At 45.8% G+C, this 23,737-nt stretch overlaps 1 protein-coding gene across 4 annotated transcripts in view, besides 2 other annotated features; it reads right to left on the minus strand.

The window, feature by feature from the left end:
* Positions 1-23,501, minus strand: part of CYP27C1 (cytochrome P450 family 27 subfamily C member 1) — a 36,468-nt gene extending 12,967 nt beyond the window's left edge. The window contains exons 1-5 of one of the 4 annotated variants that reach the window (XM_024452838.2): positions 23,191-23,501; positions 9,102-9,219; positions 6,574-6,773; positions 4,324-4,533; positions 2,578-2,741 (exon numbers count right to left, since the gene is read on the minus strand). In XM_024452838.2, the coding sequence (XP_024308606.1) occupies positions 2,578-2,741; positions 4,324-4,533; positions 6,574-6,773; positions 9,102-9,211 (684 nt within the window). In that variant the 5' untranslated portion in view covers positions 9,212-9,219; positions 23,191-23,501. Of the gene's footprint in view, positions 1-2,577; positions 2,742-4,323; positions 4,534-6,573; positions 6,774-8,860; positions 8,970-9,101; positions 9,293-23,190 lie in introns of those variants that run through there. The other 3 variants (NM_001367502.1, NM_001367501.1, NM_001001665.4) reach the window with 3 other exon arrangements.
* Positions 155-449: a silencer, noted in NCBI's record as "tiled region #1591; HepG2 Repressive DNase unmatched - State 4:PromP". NCBI's record gives its function as "represses a minimal TATA promoter and a strong SV40 promoter by Sharpr-MPRA in HepG2 cells {active_cell/tissue: HepG2}" and the evidence as "EXISTENCE:reporter gene assay evidence [ECO:0000049][PMID:27701403]".
* Positions 11,799-12,348: an enhancer, noted in NCBI's record as "NANOG-H3K4me1 hESC enhancer chr2:127966173-127966722 (GRCh37/hg19 assembly coordinates)". NCBI's record gives its function as "activates a minimal SCP1, AML or CMV promoter by ChIP-STARR-seq in primed H9 embryonic stem cells {active_cell/tissue: H9 hESC(primed)}" and the evidence as "EXISTENCE:reporter gene assay evidence [ECO:0000049][PMID:30033119]".

Consider the following 23,737-nt stretch of genomic DNA (forward strand, 5'->3'; position numbering starts at 1 on the left):
GAATGAACCTGAGTCATTCTTCTGAGTGCAGGAAGCCAGATGGAAAAGACAGCATGCTATATGATTCCATTCTCATCAATGTTTAGAAAAATGTGGCAGTGGTTTCATAAATGATTCCATCTGTCAAAAATCTGTATCGCATTATGCAGTTTAAATGGAGTTGACTATGCATAAGTTATACCGCAATAAAATCATACTAATTTTTAAAAATCAGTATGAAGTTGTAAGAATTTGTTCCCTGGCTTCTATTGTAGGATGCTAAAAGGAACAGCTTCCTTCTGAATGCCACCTCATTGTGATGTTCTTAGTTACCACCAGGGGACAGGAGGCACAAGCTCAGCGACGAAGCCATTCATTGATTTCTTCACCTTTCAAGTGGTGTCTTAATTTGAGCGAATCCACACCATCACATTCAGGTAGTTAATTAGAATTCTCATTGATTGCATCATTTAGTTTGCATTTAGTTCATATACTTTTTGTTTTATTGTTGCACAAAATCCAAAAGAATAAGGAGTTTATGCTGTGTGGGTTTGTTTTTGTTTTGTTTTGTTTTGTTTTTCGCTTTTACATGCTTAAGTGATATTACAATAAAAATAAAGCCTTGAGGCTTTTTTGCCCCTTTAAGATGTAGGTCTGTGCGGGGCGTGCCTTATTCAAGGCCGGGAAGCACCCGTGCAAAGGAAAAGCTTTGAGATGATGGGCTTGGTTGTTTAGTTTCCCCACCTGTTAATGAAGTCAATGACTCCTACCTTAGAGGAAGCTGTGAGACAGGCAGGGTGTGCGTGCAATGCTTTGGAAACAGCGAAGCGTCACGCAATCTTAATTCTCTCTTTCCACCCGACCACCAGCAGCACCCCAGCCCGCAGCTTCCCCAGTTTCCAGCCAGAAATTTCATTATCTTCCACCCACTGAAAGCATCAGCCTAGCTCCTCCCTGTTTTGCCATTTCCTTTTAGCAAATTTTACAACTGCTTTCACCTGTACCTACACGGCGATCATTTTCACACGTATCCTATTAATTGTATCATATTACACATGTGCTTTTGAAAGGAACTTGGCTCCTTATTCCCCCCGGACCATGCCACCCCCAGCCAGCCAAAAACCCATGTTAACTATCTAGTGTGTTCCCTCCACGCGCTGCTCTGTGTTCGCACAGTCACGGACAGATGTGCAGATGCACACAGCCGGGAGGGGGCGGTGCCGCTGCATCTTACTCACAGGACACAGTATACATGCTGGTCTGCCTCTTCCTTTCCCATCGGATAGCCTGTGGGTTCCCCCCAGGTTAATGGGCAGTGCTCTGTCTCATTCTGATATGAACCCTCCCTGGTCCCAGTGTATCATTGATCTGCCATGCTACTGGGCTCCATTCACAGGGAATTTGTTGATACACACACACACACACACACACACACACGCACTCATCAACCAAACTGCTTTAGTTTACTTTCTTTACACTCTCTTTAGCAGGTTTTGGTTTTGAAGTTATGTTGGCTTTATAGAACAAATTGGGGAGTGAATGAAATGAATTCTTGGCTTTATAAATAAATTCCATGGCCTGGAATATTTTAAATGATAACTAATAAGGTTTTTAATGTCTGTACCCTCTTCATGTATGAAATTATGAAACAATGACAAAATGTTTACAAATCAGGAATGATTTGTAAACTTTAAACATTTATTATCATTTTGTGTGTGTGCTAATGGAATTTTGGTTATGCTTTTCACAGAAATCATTATGCACCTTACATTTAATATACAATCATGCATCGTATAGTGATGTTTTGGTCAATGATGGACCCAATATACAATGGTGATCCCATAAGATTATAAAGCCACATTTGTACTGTAGCTTGCCAATGTTTAAGTATGTTAGATACACACATACTTACCACTGTGTTCCAGCTGCCCACAGTATTCAGTACAGTAACATTCCGTACAGTTGTGTAGCCTAGGAGTAATAGGCTCTACCGTGCAGCCTAGGTATGTGGTAGGCTACCATCTAGGTTTGTGTAAATACACTCTAAGATGTTCACGCAATGACAGGACCACCCAACAACGCATTTCTCAGAACAAATCTGCATCATTAAGTGAGGCGTGACTGCATACACAGAGTTTTCTCCTCCTGGAGCCCCCCAGCAGTGCAGCAGGCCTAGTACAAACATGAACAGTGTGCTAAACAAATCTGCCTTAAAAGTAGACAACGGCCAGTCGCAGTGGCTCATGCCTGTAATCCCAGCACTTTGGGAGGCCAAGGCGGGTGGATCACCTGAGGCCGGGAGTTCGAGACCAGCCTGGCCAACATGGTGAAACCCCCGTTGCTACTAAAAGTACAAAACATTAGCTGGAAGTGGTGGCGGGCGCCTGTAATCCCAGCTACTCTGGAGGCTGAGGCAAGAGAATCACTTGAACCTGAGAGGCAGAGGTTGCAGTGAGCCGAGACCATGCCATTGCACTCCAGCCTGGGCAATAGAGTAAAACTCCATCCTCCCGCTCCAAAAAAGTAGACAACGTCCATGAGGTGATGAGGAAGGGGTTATCGTGTGTTGCTTGCTGAGAACAGGACCCCCAGACTCACCGTGTCGACGCCGGCCAGCAGCATCTCAGTCACGTTGGCGTAGATCTCCTGCAGCGTCAGAGCCTGGCTAAGGAAGAGGTATGTGAGAAGTCCCCCGCTCACCCTCCGGCCTCGGTCCATTTGGTACTGTATGTCCCTCAACTTGTTGTCAACATGAATTTGGCCTGTTTGAAAACAGTATTTCTTTTGAAAGGAGTTTGGGTTGAGAATCATCTTTTCAGTCTCAAAGCCCTCTGTCCTCCCAGTAGCTTAACTAAACCAGTGGCAGGTGACAGAGGGTAAGGAAACCCAATTTATCTAACGTCAACCTGGGAGTTTCACTCATACACTTGCTTATGTAAATGAATGAAAAGTTAAAAGACAAGCTAAACGTATCTTCCTTTTTAAAAATAAGCTGTAGGATATTTGCAGATGTTTGCTTTACTAATCCAATAGCCAAATAAATTATTTATATAATATGAGTAACAAAATGCAAACTCTTTTATTTTTTTCTACCACACTTTCAGAAGAGAAAATGAGTGGAGGGGAAAAGGCCACACATTATTATCTGGGATGTTACCATACAGCACAGACTTCAGGACTTCTATATTCAAATAAATGTTGTGGTTGTTGTTGTTTCCTTAAGACAGAGGCTCGCTCTGTGGCCCAGGCTGGAGTGCAGTGGCAGGATCTCGGCTCACTGCAACCTCCGCCTCCCGGGTTCAAGCCATTCTCCTGCCTCAGCCTCCCAAGTAGCTGGAATTACAGGCACGCGCCACCACGCCCAGCTAATTTTTGTATTTTTAGTAGAGACGCAGTTTCGCCATGTTGGCCAGGCTGGTCTTTAACTACTGACCTCAGGTGATCCTCCCACCTCGGCCTCCCAAAGTGCTGGGATTACAGGCGTGAGCCACTGCACCCAGCCTAAATATTGATCTTGAAAAGACACCATGAAACACTTTATTCAGTGTTAGCATTGCTCTAGAACATTGTTCTAAGCATTTTGAAAATAATTTCTTTATTTTTGGCAATGCTTTTATAGTAAAAATTTTAGTCACATAAGAAAACAAATCTCTTTGTAATCTCACCTTGGATTTGAACAAAAATTGTCACATTCAAATGAATGTGCGTGGACCTGAAACTCTACATTTTAAGCACTGACCAATTTATTTGGAGTAAAGACATCATCTTGCATGGACATTTACTTGTACCTGTCCCTGCTAGCATGCTAGTGAAAATAAAAATTATTTTAAAATGAAAAAACTGATCATGTTACCTGTAGTCACAACCCACATGCTTTTTGCTTCTTTGAAAAACAAATCCATGGCCAGGCGTGGTGGCTCACACTTGTAATCCCAGCACTTTAGGAGGTCAAGGTGGGTGATCACCTGAGGTCAGGAATTCAAGACCAGCCTGGCCAACATGGTGAAACCCCATCTCTACTAAAAATACAAAATAATTAGCCAGGCATGGTGGCAGGTGCCTGTAATCGCAGCTACTCAGGAGGCTGAGGCATGATAATCACTTGAACCTAGGAGGCAGAGGTTGCAGTGAGCTGAGATCACACCACTGCACTCCAGCATGGGCGACAGAGCCAGACTCCGTCTCAAAAAAAAAAAAAATCCAAAAGTTATGGGTCCAAAAACTAACACGTGACTACATCTAGGCATCCTCTGCTATGGTCACCCATTGTCTGGATGAGAGTTAGACACACAACACGGCAGGTCAACCTGCTTCTGCAAAAGGTGCTCTCAATTCTTCTCTTACTGAATTTGAAGAGTCCATCCCAGGACCTGCAGAATTCCCGCCAGGGCTTTGGGATGAAGGGGCGAAGCCATCTGGGGATGGCGCCTGCATACATGGAGGTCTTGAACATGCTAAACATGAGCTCCAGGGCCTCGATGTATTCCACAGTCAGCTGTGGGATGCTGTTTTCCAGGCAGCCCAAACGACTCTCATAAAGGATGGTGGCCACTCCTAGACAGGAAAGAGAATTTGAAAACCCTCTTCTAGATTATTTACCATACCAACAGGCAATGTTGGGCCATAAATGCAACTTTCAAACGTGGTCCAGGTGCCTTTCATGAATGAGGCATCGTCCCTCTGAGGATTTCTCTGCATCCTGAACTGCAGGGTGCTGGCATTTAGGGCTGACAGGTGGTGCTGTTGCTGCTTCACCTAAGGAGCCCCACAGCCCTGGGAGGCACAGATGAAGAAGCCCACTCTCTGGAGGAAATTCGAAGACTCTGAGAGTTTAAGTAGCTTGGCTAAGGCTGCAGAGGAGGACCCTGGGACAGATCTGGAGCACAGGTCTGAAATGATGAGCCCTGGGGAGGGGACAATCACCGAGCGTGTCACTGCTCTCCCCCAACACCCTCCTCTCAGGAAGGAGTCGGCAAACCTCACATGGCCTCTCCCTGCCCCACCTGGCCACTGGGGATCGCCTTCCAGCCACTTGCCCAACTTGAGGAATTGAAAAGTGACTCCTCCTGGCCAAAACGCAGAGCCCAGGCCTGGAGAGCTAAAGGCGCAGCAGAAGTGGCCTGGATGAATCCGTGTCGGGCAGAGCTGTGAACTGTATTTACCAATCACTTCTGGGATGATTTTGTTACTAATTTTAGAGAAAATTAACATCAGAACTCTGCAAAGCTAACTTGAGTGAAAGTTGAAGGTAAGCTTTTTTTAAAAAAGATGAGAAAGCTGATAGAAAGTCCTCCAAGATGCATTCTATTTTTTTTTTTTTACACAAACATCACCATGTTAGACCAACATGCTTTTTTTTTTTTTGAGATGGAGTTTCACTCTTGTCACCCATGCTGGAGTACAATTGTGTGGTCTTGGCTCACTGCAACCTCCGCCTCTCTAGTTCAAGCGATTCTCCTGCCTCAGCCTCCCAAGTCTCTGGGATTACAGGTGCCCGCCACCATGGCCCAGTTAATTGTTGTATTTTTAGTAGAGACAGGGTTTCACCATGTTGGCCAGACTGGTCTCAAACTCCTGACCTCAGGTGATCCACCCGCCTCGGCCTCCCAAAGTGCTGGGATTACAGGCGTGAGCCACCGCACCCAGCCCCAAGATGCATTCTTAAGTAAAGAGAAAGCACGGTGCAGAACAGTATGTTTGGTGTACTACCCTTTATTGTTTAAAAATAAAAAGAATATTCACATGCGTTTTTCTGTATGTGCATAAAACATCTCTTGACATATACATGAGAGACTAGTGACCTTTGCTGCATTCAGGAAAGAGGGAGACCTTCACTGAAGCCTTTTTGGTATTGCTATTTGAACAGGAATGTACCACTCATTCAATATGACTAAAAGCTAGAATGAGTTTGAAGTAGATGCCCTCTCAACTTCACTCCTTTTTAAAAATTATGCTCAAACAAAATGTTTTTTTTTTTTGAACATGTAAATTAGTAATTAGGAACATGGCTTCTTGAGTTTAAAAGACCTGAATTTGAAACTAACTTTCTGCCTCTAAAAAGAGGGATGGGGGTGTGGCATTGGGCAAGTTCTTTTTTAAGTCCAGTTTCAGCCAGGTGCAGTGGCTCATGCCTGTAATCCCAGCACTTTGGGAGGCCAAGGCGGGCGAATCACGAGGTCAGGAGTTCGAGACCAGCCTTGCCAACATGGTGAAACACTGTCTCTACTAAAAATACAAAAAATTAGCCGGGAGTGGTGGCAGGTGCCTGTAATCCCAGCTACTCGGGAGGCTGAGGCAGGAGAATCGCTTGAACCTGGGAGGCAGAGGTTGCAGCGAGCCAAGACCACATCATAGCACTCCAGCCTGGGTGACAGAGCAAGACTTCATCTCAGAAAAAAAAAAAAAAAGTCTCAGTTTCCTCATTGGTCAACGGTGGTTCACACCAGGTTCACGTTAGCACCGTGGAGGTGACATGCATGTATGTCCCAGACTTAGCACACTGCCTGGGACCCAGGGAATGATCCAAGATGACATCTGCAGGTTTGGGGCAAGTATCCATTCTTCCCTCCTTCCCACCTGCTGATTCCACCTCACCTTCCATTGAATATTTGAAGAAAAGATCATTGACATTGGTCACGGTTTCTCCATCTTCTGCCTGGCTCCTGAGGAGGTAGATTCTTTTAATTAAGTCAGCAATAACTTGGTTGACTTCTCCAGAATAAATGGCCACATCTTTCGGTTTCAGAATTCTTTGTCTCAATACGCTTCTCATCTTGAGCCACTGTTCACCCTCCCTAGAAGAATCAAGTGAGTTTCAAATCATCTTACTTACACTGACATTCTGGGAAAGAATTCAAGGAACCTCTAGAAAAAATTTCAGCCATAAAGAATCAACAAGAGCTGCCCAACAAAGTAGAATTAAGACAGGAAAGACTTTTTGCTGGGGAGAGAGAAGTTAATAACTGCAGCCCTGGAGCCTGTTAGAGCTTCTTACACTCTTGCCTTTGAAGCAAACTTTAAGGAAAAAACTACCAGTGGTAAGTAATAATCTTTAGTAAAAGTAATACGACTTCCTTTAAAAAATCTTGAAATAATATTGTAATAAAGAAATGAGATTGCTAATTAGCAAAAGAAAAATATATATATATATGCATACATATGTATATATAAATGAAGTAAGTACTGATATTAAAAAAGAAAAAGAGGGCCAGGCATGGTGGCTCATGCCTGTAATCCCAGCACTTTAGGAGGCCAAGATGGGTGGATCACCTGAAGTCAGGAATTCAAGACCAGCCTGGCCAACATGGTGAAACCCCATCTCTACCAAAAATAGAAAAATTTAGCCGGGTGTGGTGGTGGGCACCTGTAATTCCAGCTACTCGGGAGGCTGAGGCAGGAGAATCACTTGAACCCGGGAGGCAGAGGTCATGGTGAGCCAAGATCACGCCATTGCACTCCAGCCTAGGCGACAGAGCGAAACTCCATCTCAAAAAAAAAAGAAAGAAAGAGAGAGAGAGAGAGAGAAAAGGAAGGAAGGAAGGAAGGAGGGAGGGAGGGAGGGAGGGAGGAGGGAGGGGGGAGGGAGGAAGGAAAGAGAGAGAGAAAGAAAGAAAAGAAAGAGAGAGAGAAAGAAAGAAAAGAAAGAGAGAAAGGAAAGAAAGAAAAAGAAAGAAAGAAAGAAAGAAAGAAAGAAAGAAAGAAAGAAAGAAAGGAAGGAAGGAAGGAAGGAAAGAAAGAAGGAAAGAAAGAAAGAAAGAAAGAGAGAGAGAGAGAGAGAGAGAAAGAAAGAAAGAAAGAAAGAAAGAAAGAAAGAAAGAAAGAAAGAAAGAAAGAAAGAAAGAAAGAAAGAAGACTGCAGCTTGTTACCAGGGTGTGGGAAAGAAAGAGGGACTGCAGCTTGTTACCAGGGTGTGGGGCCTTGGGGCTCCTGGCTGCACTCGGAGAGCACCCAGGTAGCAGGCCCAGCACACCGCTCCCAGTGAAGGCAGGACGCTGAGGGAACCCCTTGGAGGTCTGAGGAGTGTTCTGCAGTTTCTCAGAGGGTCGTGGCAGGACTGAGCCTCAAGTGCCCACGAGCGTCACCCACACCTCCACACCTCCGCATGGCTTGCCTCCCAACCCTGCTCCACTTTCGCGTTCTCAAGGAGACCACCTGCACTCAAAGCCTTGCCTCCAGATGGACTTTGGAGGACCCAAGCTAAGCCAGCCCGGCGCCTGGGCCTAGGCACTGCCCTTCCCTTTGCTGTCCACTGTGCTGAAGTCACCAGCACCGCCTCTCTCCATCTCAGCCGAAGAGGGGTCCAGGCACCCACACAGGCTCCTGAGCCTGCAGCTAACGGGGCAGACAGCAGAGAGATTCTGCCTCAGCATTCGGGCCCCTCTAGGCCTGAACATCCAGGAGGAGCTGTTTAATTATTTCCCCCAGGACGGAAATTGAGGGACCCTGGTGACATCTGGTCACGATTCTTATTTATCTTACTTGAGAAATTGGTGGCTGTATTTCTCCCCAATTTATGTATAAGGACATAGATATCAAAAGAGCTGCAAACAGAAGTCCCACCCCATGGGGATTTGGACCGGGGCATCTGCAGGCGCCCTGGGCCTCCCTGCCTGGCCGCGGGCCACGATCTCTTGGAAGGCACAGAGGTGTTGGTGACGCTGGTTCAAAATGAATAATCACAGTCTGCTATGAGACAGGAAAATCACCACGTGGCGACCAAGGCTGGAGGTTCTTAGCCCCTCGTCAAAGGGATTTTCCTGAAATAGTGACCACCTCCTTTCCCTGTGCACAGACAAGGGCGCTGTGAGTTTTGTCTGCCTCGGTTATCACTGAATGGACTCCCAAAGCCACAAAGCCCTGCTTCCGAAGCGCTCTGCCCACCACGGAGCCAGCGTCGCCCCTCCTGGCTCCTGACGGGACAACTCTGCACGGAGGAGGAGCCAGAAAGCCCAGCAGGGCTCTCATGTCTGGGAGATCGCACAAGGAGACTGTCTGATATCATTCCATGGGGGGGTTCTGTGCTTTTTTAAGAGCTGGCTTTTAGGAACTCAGCTTTGGAGGAGGGGGCCTCCCCCTGAGCTCCCCCTCCAGCCCGTGGCTCAGCCCGGGCCCACATACTCACGCCGAGATGAGCCCGGTGGCTCTCCCCCGCAAGTCTCGGTACTCCCGCCAGGACTCCATGTTGGCTCTCTGGGGCGCAGCGCCCTCCGCCCGGAGCACCTGAGCCACCATATCGCGGTCTGCAATAGATACTACAAACTGAGGACCAAAGTGAGACTTGAAGATTTTTCCATATTCCCGTGTGTGCTTCTGCTGCAATACCATGGAGAAATCAAAAAAGGAAAAAATACATAGATATGATATACCTTTAACATAAACATCCTGTGTGCTAGAGGAGCAGAAAATTGGGGCAGAGGGAAGTGCTATCTAACACAGCACTGAATCAGAGCAGTAATTTACATATTGCTGAGATAAACATGTTTTCACATAACCATCTCTTTTTTGTTGTTTCCGTTTGTTTGTTTGTTTGTTTGTTTGTTTGTTTTTTAGAGACAGGGTCTTGCTCTGTTGCCCAGGCTGGAGTGCAGTGGCATAAACATAGCTCACCGCAGCCTCCAACTCCTGGGCCCAGGCAATCCTCCCACCTCAGCCTCCCAAGTAGCTAGGACTGCAGGTGCACACCTCCACTCCCAGCTAATTTTTTATTTTTTGTAGAAACAGGGGTCTCTCAATGTTGCCAGGCTGGTCTCGAACTCTTGGCCTCAAGTGATCCTCCTGCCTCAGCCTCCCAAAGTGCTGGGATTACAGGCATGATCATGGAAGTTTTCTTATTCTTTAGGGATATGTTTTTAAAACTACCTTAGCTGTGTGAAGCAACAAGAGAGAAATGTCATTATAAGAGACAAATGTCCAGAGCAAACAGAGCCCTGTCTGCCAGCCCCTTTCCATGGGCCCAACAGCTCTACCCAAGCAGTACCAAGCCAACTCTGCAGAGCAAGCCCTCTGTGGACAGTCTGTAACGAGCCTCTAAAACTGACTCCCAGCAAGAAAATGAAGGAAAAGACATCTGGATTGGAAATGAAGAAGTCAGGCTATCTCTATTGGCAGATGACGTGATCTCACATACAGAAAATCCTACGGAACCTACTAAAAAACTATTAGAACTAATAAACAAGTTCAATAGGACACAAAATCAGTATACAAAAATCAATTGTATTTCTATACACTAGCAGTGAACAATCCAAAATGAAATTTAAAAAACAATTCAATTTACAATACATCAAAAAGAATACAATACTTGACCAGCTGCAGTGGCTCATGCCTGTCTGTAATCCCAGCACTTTTGGGAGGCTTAGGTGGGTGGATCGCTAGAGCACAGGAGTTCAAGATAAGGTTGGGCAACATGGCAAAATTCTGTCTCTAAAAAAAATACATGGCTGGGTGCAAAGGCTCATGCCTGTACTCTCTGCACTTTGGGAGGCCAAGGCGAGGGGATCACCTGGGTTCAAGAGTTTGAGACCAGCCTAGCCAACATGGTGAAACCCCATTTCTACTAAAAACACAAAAATTATCCAGGCATGGTGGTGTGCACCTGTAATCCCAGCTACTCGGAGGCTGAGGCAGTAGAATCGCTTGAACCCAGGAGGCAGAGGTTGCAGTGAGCCGCAAGACTGCGCCATTGCACTCCACCCTGGGCAACAAGAGTGAAATTCTATCTCAAAAAATACATATATATACAAAAATTAGCGAGGCATGGCAGTGTGAGCCTGTAGTCCCAGCTACTCAGGAGGCTGAGGTGGGAGGATCACGTGAGCTCAGGAGGTGGAGGTTGCAGTGAGTGAAGATTGTACCACCACACTCAGGCCTGGGTGACAGAGCAAGACTCTGTCACAAAAAAAAAAATAATAATATTCTTAGAAATAAATTTAACAGGAGAAGTGTAAAACCTATACTCTGAAAACTATAAAACATTGTCTAAAGAAATCTACAAAACATTGTTTAAAGAAATCTACAAAACATTGTTTAAAGAAGCCTGAAATAAATGGCAAGACATGAAATAAATGGCAAGATATCCCATGTTCATGGACTGGAAGACTTAATATTGTTGAGAAAGAAATACACCTCAAAGTGTATAAATAGATTCAGCACAATCCCTATCATAATTCCAGTGGGCTTCTTTGTAGAAACTGATAAGCTGATCCTAAAATTCATATGAAAATGCAAGAGACCCAGAATAGCCTAAACAATCTCGAAAAAAGAACAAAGCTGGTGGACCCCCATTTTCCTGTTTCAAGACTTAGTATGGGAGAGGGGCCAAGATGGCCAACTAGAAGCAGTGGTGCTCAGAGGCTCCCATCAAAAAAAACATAATAAGCATGTGAAACCTTCCCTGGCAGCCAGGGTATCCAGGTTCTCTCATCAAAATTGACTAGAAGGCTGGCATAACCCACGGAGAGAAGGAAGAACAGTGTAGTGCAGTGGCCCACCTGGAAGCCACACGGGGAAGGGAACCCACTCCCCCCAGCCAAGGGAGGTGGTGAGTGAGCGGGCTACCCAGCTGGGGAAACTGTGCTTTTTCCACAGAACTGTGCAACCTACAGGTCAGAAGATCCCACTCTCGAACCCATGCCACCAGAGCCAAGCATCCCAACCCTGGTATGCACAGATTCCTACAGCCTCTCAGCTGGAATCTGTTTAAGCCTACTGAACTCCTGAGGGGATGGGCGACCAGCACCAGCTGCGGCTGCCTGCTGTCTAAGTAATTTGAGCTCCTTGGGGGAGGGGCAGCAGCCAGCACTGGGACTCACAACTGCCAACAGGCTAAGCTCCCTGGGTTGGGGAAGGGTGGCACCCATTTCTATAGCTCCAGGCTGCACTTTTCCCCTGCTGGAGCCAGGGAGGCTGGATGGCTTGGTCCCAAGAGTTATCCCCACAGCTCAACACACCAGCTGTGGCAGTTGGCAGCCAGAGTGCCTCTTCAGGTCTAACCCTGATCCATCCTTCCTCAGTGGCTGGGGATTCCCAGCAGGATCTCCAACAATTCCAGTCAGAGGCTCGGGGACAGAACTCTGATCTCCCTGGGCCTGAGCCCTTGGGGAAGGGGTGGCCACAGTCTCTGCGGACCAGCAGATTTAGCCTCTTCTCCTGGTAGTTCTGAGGAATCCAGGCAATCCAGACTAGTGGGTTTCCCCCAAGCAAAACACACCCTCCCCACCAAGGGACAAAGTGCTTTATTAAAAGGTTCTTGCTCCCCATGCCACCCAACTGGGTGAGACCCTCCAATAGGGGTTGTCAGATACCCTATACAGAAGCAATCCTACTGGCATCAGGTTGATGCCCCTTGAGGTCAGAGGTCCCAGAAGAAGGAGCAGGCACCCATCATTGCTGCACTTCAGCCTCCTTGAGTGACATCTCCAGGCACAGGAGCAAATCAGAAGAATAGGGCCTGAAGTGAACCCCCAGCAAACTGCAGCAGCCCTACAGAAGAGGGATTGACTATTGAAAGAAAAACAAACAGAAAGCGACAACAACAGCATTGATAACAACAACAAAAAAAGGCCCCCACAAAAACCCCATCCAAGGGTCAGCAGCCTCAAGACTGAAACTAGACAAACTCACAGAGATGAGAAATAATCAACAAAAAAATGCTGAAAACCAAAAGGCCTGAGTGCCTCTTCTCCTCCAAATAATCACAATGTCTCTCCATCAAGAGCACAGAACTGGATGGAGGATCAGATGGACGAATTGACAGAAGTACACTTCAGAAGATGGGTAATAAAAAACTGCGATGACCTAAAGGAGCATGTTCTAACACAATGCAAAGAAGCTAAGAACCTTGATAAAAGGTTAGAGGAACTGCTAACTAGAATAACCAGTTTAGAGAGGAACATAAATGACCAGATGGAGCTGAAAAACACAGTGTGAGAACTTCGTGAAGCATACACAGGTATCAACAGCCAAATCGACCAAGTGGAAGAAAGGATATCAGAATTTGAAGACCACCTTACTGAAATAAGACATGCAGACAAGAATAGAGAAAAAAGAATGAAAAGGAATAAACAAAGCCTCAAAGAAATATGGGACTTCATAAAAACAGCAAACCTACAATCGACTGGAGCACCAGAAGGAGACGGGGAGAATGGAAACAAGCTGGAAAACACACTTCATGATATTATCAAGGAGAACTTCCTCAACCTAGCAAGACAGGCCAACATGCAAATTCAGAAAATACAGAGAACACCATTAAAATACTCCACATTAAGATCAACCCCAAGACACATAGTCATCAGATTCTTCAAGGTTGAAATGAAGGAAAAACTGTTAAGAGCAGCCACAGAGGAAGGCCAGGTCACCTACAAAGGGAAGCCCATCAGACTAACAGTGGATCTCTCAGCAGAAACTCTATACGCCAGAAGAGATTGGGGGCCAATATTCAACATAGTTAAAGAATTTTCAACCCAGACTTTCATATCCAGCCAAACTAAGCTTCATAAGCAAAGGAGAAATAAAATCCTTTCCAGAAAAGCAAATGCTGAGGGATTTTGTTACCACTGGGTCTGCCATGCAAGAGCTCCTAAAAGAAGCACCAAATAAGTAAAGGAAAAACCAGTACCAGCCACTGCAAAAACACACCAAAATATAAAGACCAATGACACTACGAAGAAACTGCATCAACTAGTGTGCAAAATAAGCAAATAGCATCATGATGACAGGATCAAATTCGCACATAACAATACTAACCCTAAATGTAAATGGGCAAATCCCCCAGTTAAAAGACACAGACTGGCAAATTGGATAAGGAGTCAAGACCCATCAGCGTGCTGTATTCAGGAGGCCTATCTTAAAGGCAAAGACACACAGAGGCTCAAAATAAAGGGATGGAGGAAAATTTACAAAGCAAGTGAAAAGTGAAAAAAAAAAAAGCAGGGGTTGCAATCCTAGTCTCAGACAAAACAGACTTTAAACCAACAAAGATCAAAAAAGACAAAGAAGGGCATTACATAATAGTAAAAGGAACAATTCAACAAGAAGAGCTAACTATTCTGAATATATATGCACCCAATACAGAAGCACCCAGATTCATAAAACAAGTTCTTAGAGACCTACAAAGAGACTTAGACTCCCACACAATAATAATGGGAGACTTTAACACCCCACTGTCAATATTAGACAGATCAGCGAGACAGAAAATTAACAAGGATACTCAGTACTTGAACTCAGCTCTGGATCAAGTGGACCTAGTAGATGTCTACAGAACTCTCTACCCCAAATCAACAGAATATACATTCTTCTCAGTGTACATGGCACTTATTTGTCAATTAAAATTGACCACATATACTCCTCAGCAAGTGCAAAAGAACTGAAATCATAACAAACAGTCTCTCTGACCACAGTGCAATGAAATTAGATCTTAGGATTAAGAAACTCACTCAAAAGCACACAATATCATGGAAATTGAACAACCTGCTCCTGAACGACTCCTGGGTAAATAATGAAATTAAAGCAGAAATCAAGAAGTTCTTTGAAACCAATGAGAACAAAGAGACAACGTACCAGAATCTCTGGGATACAGCTAAAGCAGTGTTTTTTTGTTTTTTTTTTTTTTTTTTTTTTTTTTTTTTTGAGATGGAGTCTCGCTCTTTCACCCAGGCTGGACTGCAGTGGCGCTATCTTGGCTCACTGCAAGCTCCGCCTCCCGGGTTCATGCCATTCTCCTGCCTCAACCTCCCGAGTAGCTGGGACTACAGGCGCCCGCTACCACGCCCAGCTAATTTTTTTTTGTATTTTTAGTAGAGACGGGGTTTCACCGTATTAGCCAGGATGGTCTCGACCTCCTGACCTCGTGATCCACCCACCTCGGCCTCCCAAAGTGCTGGGATTACAGGCGTGAGCCACTGCGCCCGGCCTAAAGCAGTGTTAAGAGGGAAATTTATAGCACTAAATGCCCAAATCAAAAAGCTAGAAAGACCTCAAATTGACAGCCTAACATCACAATTAAAAGAGCTAAAGAGGCGAGAGCAAACTAATCCAAAAGCTAGCAGAAGACAAGAAATAACTAAGATCAGAGAAAAATTGAAGGAGATAGAGACATGAAAAACCCTCCAAAAAAATCAATGAATCCAGGAACTGGTTTTTGGAAAAAATTAACTAATAAAGAAGGAGAGAGAGAAGAATCAAATAGACACAATAAAAAATGATAAAGGGGATATCACCACTGACCCCACAGAAACACAAACTACCATCAGAGAATACTATAAACACCTCTATGCAAATAAACTAGAAAATCTAGAAGAAATGGATAAATTCCTGGACGCATACACCCTACCAAGACTAAACCAGGAAGAAATTTAACCCCTGAATAGACCAATAACAAGCTCTGAAATTGAGGCAGTAATTAATAGTCTACCAACCAAAAAAAGCCCAGGACTAGATGGATTCACAGCTGAATTCTACCAGAAATACAAAGAGGAGCTGGTACCATTCCTTCTGAAACTATTCCAAACAATTGAGAAGAAGGGACTCCCCCCTAACTCATTTTATGAAGCCAGAATCATCCTGATACCAAAACCAGGAAGAGACAGAATAAAAAAGAAAACTTCAGGCCAATATCCCTGATGAACATTGATGCAAAAGTCCTTAATAAAATACTGGCAAACCGAATCCAGCAACCCATCAAAAAACTTATCCACCACGATCAATCAGCTTCATCCCTGGGATGCAAGGCTGTTTTAACATACACAAATCAATAAACGTAATCCATCACATAAACAGAACCAAGGACAAAAACTACATAATTATCTCAATAGATGCAGAAAACGCCTTTGATAAAATTCAACATCCCTTCACATTAAAAACTCTCAATAAACTAGGTACTGATGGAACATATCTCAAAATAATAAGAGCTATTTATGATAAACCCACAGCCAATATCATATTGAATGGACAAAAACTGGAAGCATTCCCTTTGAAAACTGGTACAAGACAAGGATGTCCTTTCTTACCACTCCTATTCAACATAGTATTGGAAGTTTTGGCCAGGGCAATCAAACAAGAGAAAGAAATAAAGCATATTCAAATAGGAAGAGAGGAAGTCAAGTTATCTCTGTTTGCAGTTGAGATGATTTTATATTTAGAAAACCCCATCATCTCAGCCCAAAAACTTCTTGAACTGATAAGCAACTTCAGCAAAGTCTCAGGATATAAAATCAATGTGCAAAAATCGCAAGCATTCCTTTACACCAACAATAGGCAAGCAGAGAGCCAAATCATGAATGAACTCCCATTCATAATCACTACAAAGAGAATAAAATATCTAGGAATACAGCTACCAAGGAATGTGAAGGACCTCTTCAGGGAGAACTACAAACCACTGCTCAAGAAAATAAGAGAGGACACAAACAAATGGAAAAACATTCCATCCTTATGGATAGGAAGAATCAATATCGTGAAAATGGCCATACTGCCCAAAGTAATTTATAGATTCAATGCTATTCCCATCAAACCACCATTGACATTCTTCACAGAATTAGAAAAAAAAAAACTTAAATTTCATATGGAATTGAAGACCCCATATAGCCAAAACAATCCTAAGCAAAAAGAACAAAGCTGGAAGCATCACGATACCTGACTTCAAACTATACTACAAGGCTACGGTAACCAAAACAGCATGGTACTGGTACCAAAACAGACATATAGACCAATGGAGCAAAACAAAGACCTCAGAAATAGCACCACACATCTACAACCATCTGCTCTTTGACAAACCTGACAAAAACAAGCAATGGGGAAAGGAACTCCTATTCAGTATATGGTGCTGGGAAAACTGGCTAGCCATATGCATAAAACTGAAACTGGACCCCTTCCTTACACCTTATACAAAAATTAACGCAAGATGAATTAAAGACTTAAATGTAAAACCCAGAGCCATAAAAACCCTAGAAGAAAACCTAGGCAATACCATTCAGAACACAGGCATCTGCAAAGATTTCCTGATGAAGACACCAAAAGCAATTGCAACAAAAGCCAAAATTGACAACTAGAATCAAATTAAAGAGTTCCTGCACAGCAAAAGAAACTATCATTGGAGTGAACAGGCAACCTACAGAATGGGAGAAAGTTTTTGCAATCTACCCATCTGACAAAGGTCTAATAGCTGGAATTTACAAGGAAATTGAACAAATTTACAAGAAAAAAACAAATGGCCCCATCAAAAATTGGGCAAAGAATATAAACAGACACCTCTCAAAAGAAGACATTTATGTAGACAACAAACATGAAAAAAAGCTCAATGTATAATGTATACATCACTGATCATCAGAGAAATGCAAATCAAAACCACAATGAGATACCATCTCACACCAGTCAGAATGGTGATTACTAAAAAGTCAGGAATAGATGCTGGCAAGGCTGTGGAGAAACTGAAACACTTTTACACTGTTGGTGGGAATGTAAATTAGTTAAACCATTGTGGAAGACAGTATGGTGATTCCTCAAGGATCTAGAACCAGAAATACCATTTGACCCAGCAATCCCATTCCTGGGTATATACCCAAAGGAATATAAGTCATTCTACTATAAAAACACATGCACACATATTTTTACAGCAGCGCTATTTACAGTAGCAAGGACATGGAACCAACCCAAATGCCCATTAACGATAGACTGGTTAAAGAAAATGTGGCACATATACACCATGGAATGCTATGCAGTCATAAAAAGGAATGAGATCATGTCCTTTGCAGGGACATGGATGAAGCTGGAAGCAATCATCCTCAGCAAACTAACACAGGAACAGAAAACCAAATACTGCATGTTCTTATTCATAAGTGGGAGTTGAATATTGAGAACACATGAACACAGATAGGGGAATAACATACACCAGGGCCTGCTGGGGTGGGGGTTGAGGGGAGGAAACTTAGATGGGTCAATAGGTGCAGCAAACCACCATGGTGCACGTACACCTATGTAACAAACCTGCATGTTCTGCACATGTATCCGTTTTTTGTTTTTTTTTTTTTTTTTGGTTTTTTTTTTTTTAGAGGAAATTAAAAAAAAAAAGACTTAGTACAGGCCGGGCGCAGTGGCTCACGCCTGTAATCCCAGCACTCTGGGAGGCCGAGGTGGGCAGATCACGAGGTCAGGAGATCTAGACCATCCTGGCTAACACGAGGAAACCCCGTCTCTACTAAAAATACAAAAAAATTAGCCAGGCATGGTGGCGGGCGCCTGTAGTCCCAGCTACTCGGGAGGCTGAGGCAGGAGAACGGCGTGAACCCGGGAGGCGGAGCTTGCAGTGAGCTGAGATCGCACCACCGCACTCATGCCTGGGCGACAGAGTGAGACTCCATCTCAAAAAAAAAAAAAAAAAGACTTAGTACAAAGCTACAGTAACCAAGACAGTGCAGTAATGGCATAATCATTGGCTTAGATTTAAGACTCAAACATCTATGGTCAACTGATTTTCATCAAGAGTTCCAAGATCTTTCAATAGGAAAAGGATTTAATAGTCTCTTAAACAAATGGCACAGGGACAACTGGATAGCCACAAGCAAAGAATCAATTTTTACCTTTTTCTCACACTATATAAAAAAATTATCTCAAAATGGATCAAAGCTCTAAATGTAAATGCTAAAACTATAAACTCTTAGAAGAAAACATAAGGGTAAATCTTCATGACCCTGGGTTTGGCATAATGTCTTAAGATATGATCCCTAAAGTGCAAGTAACAAAAGAAAAAAATCGATAATAGGACTTCATCAAAATTTAAAACTTTTATGCTTTAAAGAACACTATTAAGAAAGTGAAAACAAGGCCGGCCATAATGGCTCAGGCATGTAATCCTAGCACTCTGGGAGGCCAAGGCAGGTGGATTGCTTGAGCCCAGCCTAGGCAACATAGCAAGACCCTGTCTCATTAAAAAATAAAAATAAAATGTAAAAATAAAAAGCAAAAACAACCTTCGGATGGAGAAAATATTTGCAAAGCACATATCTGATAAGGGACTTGTACCCAGAATATATAGAAACTTACAAATCAGTAGAGGAAGGGAGGGAGGGAGAGAGAGAGGGAGGGAGGGAGGAAGGAAGAAGAGAGAAAAGAACCCAATTAAAAACTGGACAAAGGATTTCAATGGATATTTCTCCAAAGAAGATATACAAATGGTAAATAAGCACATGAAAATATGCTCAACATCATCAGTCATCAGGGAGAGATAGCACTTCGCACCCACTAGAATGGCCATAATCAAAAGGACAAGTAATAACAAATGTTGACAGGGATGTAGAAAAATCAGAACCCTCTTATGATAATGGTGGGGATGTAAAATGGTGCAGATACTCTGGAAAACAGTCTGGCAGTTCTTCAAAAGGTTAAATATAGAATTACTATTTGACCCAACAGTTCCACTCCTAGATACATATCCAAGAGAAATGAAAACACATGTCTACACAAAACCTTACACACAAAAATTCACAGCAGCATTATTCATTACGGCTAAAAGGTGGAAACAATCCAAATGTCTATGAACTGATGAATGGATAAGCAAAATGTGGTATAGTCATACGCTGCAATATTATTTGTCCATAAAAAGAATGAGGTACTGATACATGCTACAACATGAGTGAACCTTAAAAACATTATACTGAAATGTTTAAAGTGAAAGAAACCACCCATAAAAGACCACATATTACATGATTCCACTTATGACATGTCCAGAATAGGCCAATCTATAGATACAGAAAGTAGCTTGGTGGTTGCTTAAAGCAGGGGGAATAGGAGAGTTGGGGGTGATAGCTGATGGATATGGGATTTCTTTTTGAGGTCATGAAAATGTTCTACAAGTTGACTGCGGTGATGGTTGTATACTTCAAATGGATGAATTATATGATATGTTAATTATATCTTAAGAAAGCTGTTACTCCCTGCATAAAAAGAAATCACAATAAATGTAAATAGACTAAATTATTCAGTTAAAACACAAAAGTGATGAGCCTCTAACATGGCTCAGCATGACACAGACAGGGCTGGGCTGGGGAAAGTTACTAAGACTCTCTTTGGTATCTGCCCAGCTTTCTCACCACTCCAGCTCTCAATCTCAGAAACAGTGGGCCAGGAGCACTGTCATTTCTCTACTCTTATACTCACTCCTTCTGGAGACCTGAAAATGAAGACATTCAGACTAAACTGGAATGAGTCCATCTCCAAGGGGTCACTTCTGCCTAACAAATAAGTGGCCCCCAAAGAGTTCAGGTCTCTAAAGGGGCCCACTGAAGGAATGACTGGTAACAAGAACTACTGGGAAATGGGCCACTCCTCAAGCAAATCCAGCTACTGAATTGGGTACAATCAGCACAAGGGAACTGGAGGTAGAAATGATACAGATAGTTTTCATCACTTTCTGGTGGTGGGCCATGGAACTATACAGTCAGGCACAGTACTTAGAGTTTGCTTGGATGTTAAGAGCACAGACTCTGGAGTTTGAATCTGGGCTCACAGTTTACTAGCTGAATAACCTTTGGAAGTTAGGTCCCACTATGCCTCAGTTTCCTCACCCAAAAAATGGAGAAATAAGTTTCACGTAAGACTTGAAACTGTGCCTGGCACATGAAAAGAGTTCTAGAAATACTGATCGTTATTATTTGTTATTATTACAGTTTCATAACACTAAGCTCATTTGACCTTATCATAACCCATGAGAGGAATGGCGATTGCTAATCTCCTTTACGGATGAGAAAACTGAGGTGCAGAGAGAATGAGTGACTAGCCCAAGGCTCCACAGGTGGCTGCAGAGGGCCAGCATTGGAGGACATGACTCCTGTTTCGGCCATCCTGCTGCTCTACCACACCCTAAATAGCATCTAGTGACCCAAATTATGATTTCTACTCTGCCAATCACCAGCTGCCTGACCTTAGGCAAGTCGCTTAGGTAACCACCCAACTCTTTCCATCTGTAAAATGAGAGGTGAGCTATGTAGGTGAACACTAAGAGCCCTTGTTTAGCTAACATTCTGTGATTGCAAGGGGAGCGCAAGTGAACTGGATGTGATGGGCCACAGAACAATGAGCAACCTGGAGAGCGGGAAGAGAGGGTTTTTCTAGAACCATGTGTTCGAAATTGGGAGTCCTCAGAGGGGCTGCAGGAAGGTGAGAGTCCCCACAAGTACCATATTTGAGGGTTGGGGTAGTGCCACCTGGAGAGTAAAGGGAAAGAACTTTTTCCTTTATTTCTTTTACTCTCCAGGTCCTGTGTGCGCTTGGTGAGAAGGCAGCAAGTGAGTCAGTTGTGACTCTCTGCTCCGTGCCCCAGGGCCCTGGGTGTGGTGAAGGAAGCTGTCTGAGCAGTGGGCAGGAGGGGCTGAGCTCAGGGTGAGGGCTGGCGGCAGGGGCGGGTGAATGGAAAATACCCATCTGAACTGCCACACATCCTGACTGGATACAGGCTTTAACACGGTCCGTCTCAAAGAAACCTGTGCCCATGGAACAAACTCTGGGTGAGGTATGAGGATAAAAGCAGATGGCAGTAGGGGCGGATAAAAGAAAAATTAAATTACACTTCAGAAAGCAGGCTGTATTGAACCCATCAACAGCAAATAACAAAACACTTTTTACTGTATTTGAAAGTTGCCATCCTGATATCTTATCAGATCCTACAAAGAAAATCATTTTTGAGCCCTCTAAGCATTGGGGTGGGGGTGGCGGTTTGGAACTGTATAGGGTTGGCGTGGCGGACTTGAGGAGGGACGGTTGGGACTTCCTGGCATTAAAATTAAATTAAATTTTAATTCCCGGCCGAATTAAAATTGCTCCTCGCACGCCCGTTTTTCCATTAATGAGGGTTGGGGCTTCTCCCTCACGTTCATTGACTGAATGGCTGATGGAACGAATGAATGACTGAAGCCCAGGTGGGTAGTTAGAAGAGGCTTCGATGGAGAAGGGTCTCGAAAGACCGGAACTCTGGGCAGAAGGACAGGCCTGGGTGGGAGGAGAAGGGGGCGTTCTCGGAAGACACCAAAAGCCCCCATACCAGAAATAACAGTGCGTGCTGGGCCGGGCACCCGGGGAGGCGGACGATGGGCGAAGGCATCGGAGGGCGCCGCCGCGGCTCGGGTGCAGTGCCCCTGCCACGAAGGGCGCAACGGAGGTGGGCGTGGGAAGGACAGCACTCAGGCTCCAAGTGGGAAGCGTGCGGAATTCGCCGGCCCCAACGCCCTAGCGGGTGGCTGGGACCCCTGGGTTCCTCCCACGTCCCTGCCTCCAGTCCCGGCGCGAACTCCAGGTGTCGCCCCCAACTCCGGCTTAGAGCCTACGGCACCCCGAGCCTCCGAGCCTCCGTCCCCTCTTCCCCCGCCATTACAAAATACAAAAAGGACTAGAAATGAATACACACGGTCTCGGCCACCTAAGGACACCGAGCTCCGCAGAGCCTAGAGGAGCTAGGGAACCTAGCGCTCCCCTCGGGCCGGCCCCAGGCAGCAGCCCCCCTCAGCCCCAACTCCGCGGGTCCCGCCAGCTCTCCACTCCCAGGCCCCGGCGGCGTCCACCAGGCGCCCGCTGCCCCTCCCCAAGTCTCCTCCTCCGGGACCTCAGCCCTGGTGCCCTCCCCGCAGTCCCATTCCTGGTTTCCCTTCGCGGCGCCCCCTCCCCAGGTTCCCCAACCAGGCAATCCCTGCCTGGGTCCCTCCCCGGGACCAGTCCCTGGAGACCCTGCCCGCCGCCTCTCTCGGGCTACCACTCTCCGAAACTCCATCCCTGACTCCCCTCCCCGCTACCTCCTCCCCAGGGGTCCCGGCTGGGGCCCCTCCAGGGGACCCCTCCCTGCCGCCACCTCCCGAGACACCCATTTCCCCCGCCTCTTCCCAGCCGTTCCTTTCTGGCCCCGTTCCTCAGCTCCCTCTGCCTGCTGCCCCTCTCCGGGGTCCGCTTCCCGAAGACCCCTCCCCAACGCCCCCGCCCCGCTCCCGGTTCCTGCCTCCTCCACCCCGGATCGCCTTTCCGGCGTCCTCTCCCCAGCGCCCCTTCCTGCGAACCTTAACCGGACAACCCCAGTCCAGCTCCCCCAACCCACCGCGGCGCCCAGTGCCCGGGGATCCCTGCCCGCCGCCCCTCCCTGGGACTCCCCAACCCCGCGCCCCTCCCTGGCGCCCTCCCGCCCGCGCCGTCAGCCTTCTGGGCAGCAGCCCGGGCTGGCTCCCTCCCGGGGCGGCGCGCGCTACCTGGATCTCGTGGATGCGGCTGAAGCCGTCCCTGCAGAAGAACTCCGCCAGGTTGGCGAGGGTCCTCGGCCCCGGCATGGCGGCGAGGCTCCGGGGACCCTCGGCTCGGCCCCCTCCCGGCGGCGACCCCGGCCGCCCGGCGCCTTTGTCCTCGGCCCGCGCCCCCGCCGGGAGCCGTGCGCCCGCGGGTTGAGGCCGCCGCGGGGCCCCGCCGCCCAGGAGCCCACCCCGCTCGGGCGCCGGCCGCAGCCCGGCTCTCAGGATCCGCGCCAGCAGGGCCATGGCGCTCGTCTGCATCGGCTTGTTTGTCTGAGCAACTTTGTTTCGGGGGCTGCTCTTTGGGTTGCTGTTTCCTGCGTCTTAACTTGTCAGAGCAGTGCTTCTCCGTACTCCTGCCGCCGGGGCGTCAGTTTACACAGACCCTTATTAAAGGCTCCCTCCCCTGGGGCTGGGGAAAAGGCTGTGATTAGACTGCAAGAGAATGAGGCTATTATTATTTCTTCACATCATATTAATTCACACTTAAGCGTTCCTTGAAACCACCAAG

This window comes from Homo sapiens, chromosome 2 (assembly GCF_000001405.40).
Source record: "Homo sapiens chromosome 2, GRCh38.p14 Primary Assembly".
NCBI classification, from domain to species: domain Eukaryota; kingdom Metazoa; phylum Chordata; class Mammalia; order Primates; family Hominidae; genus Homo; species Homo sapiens.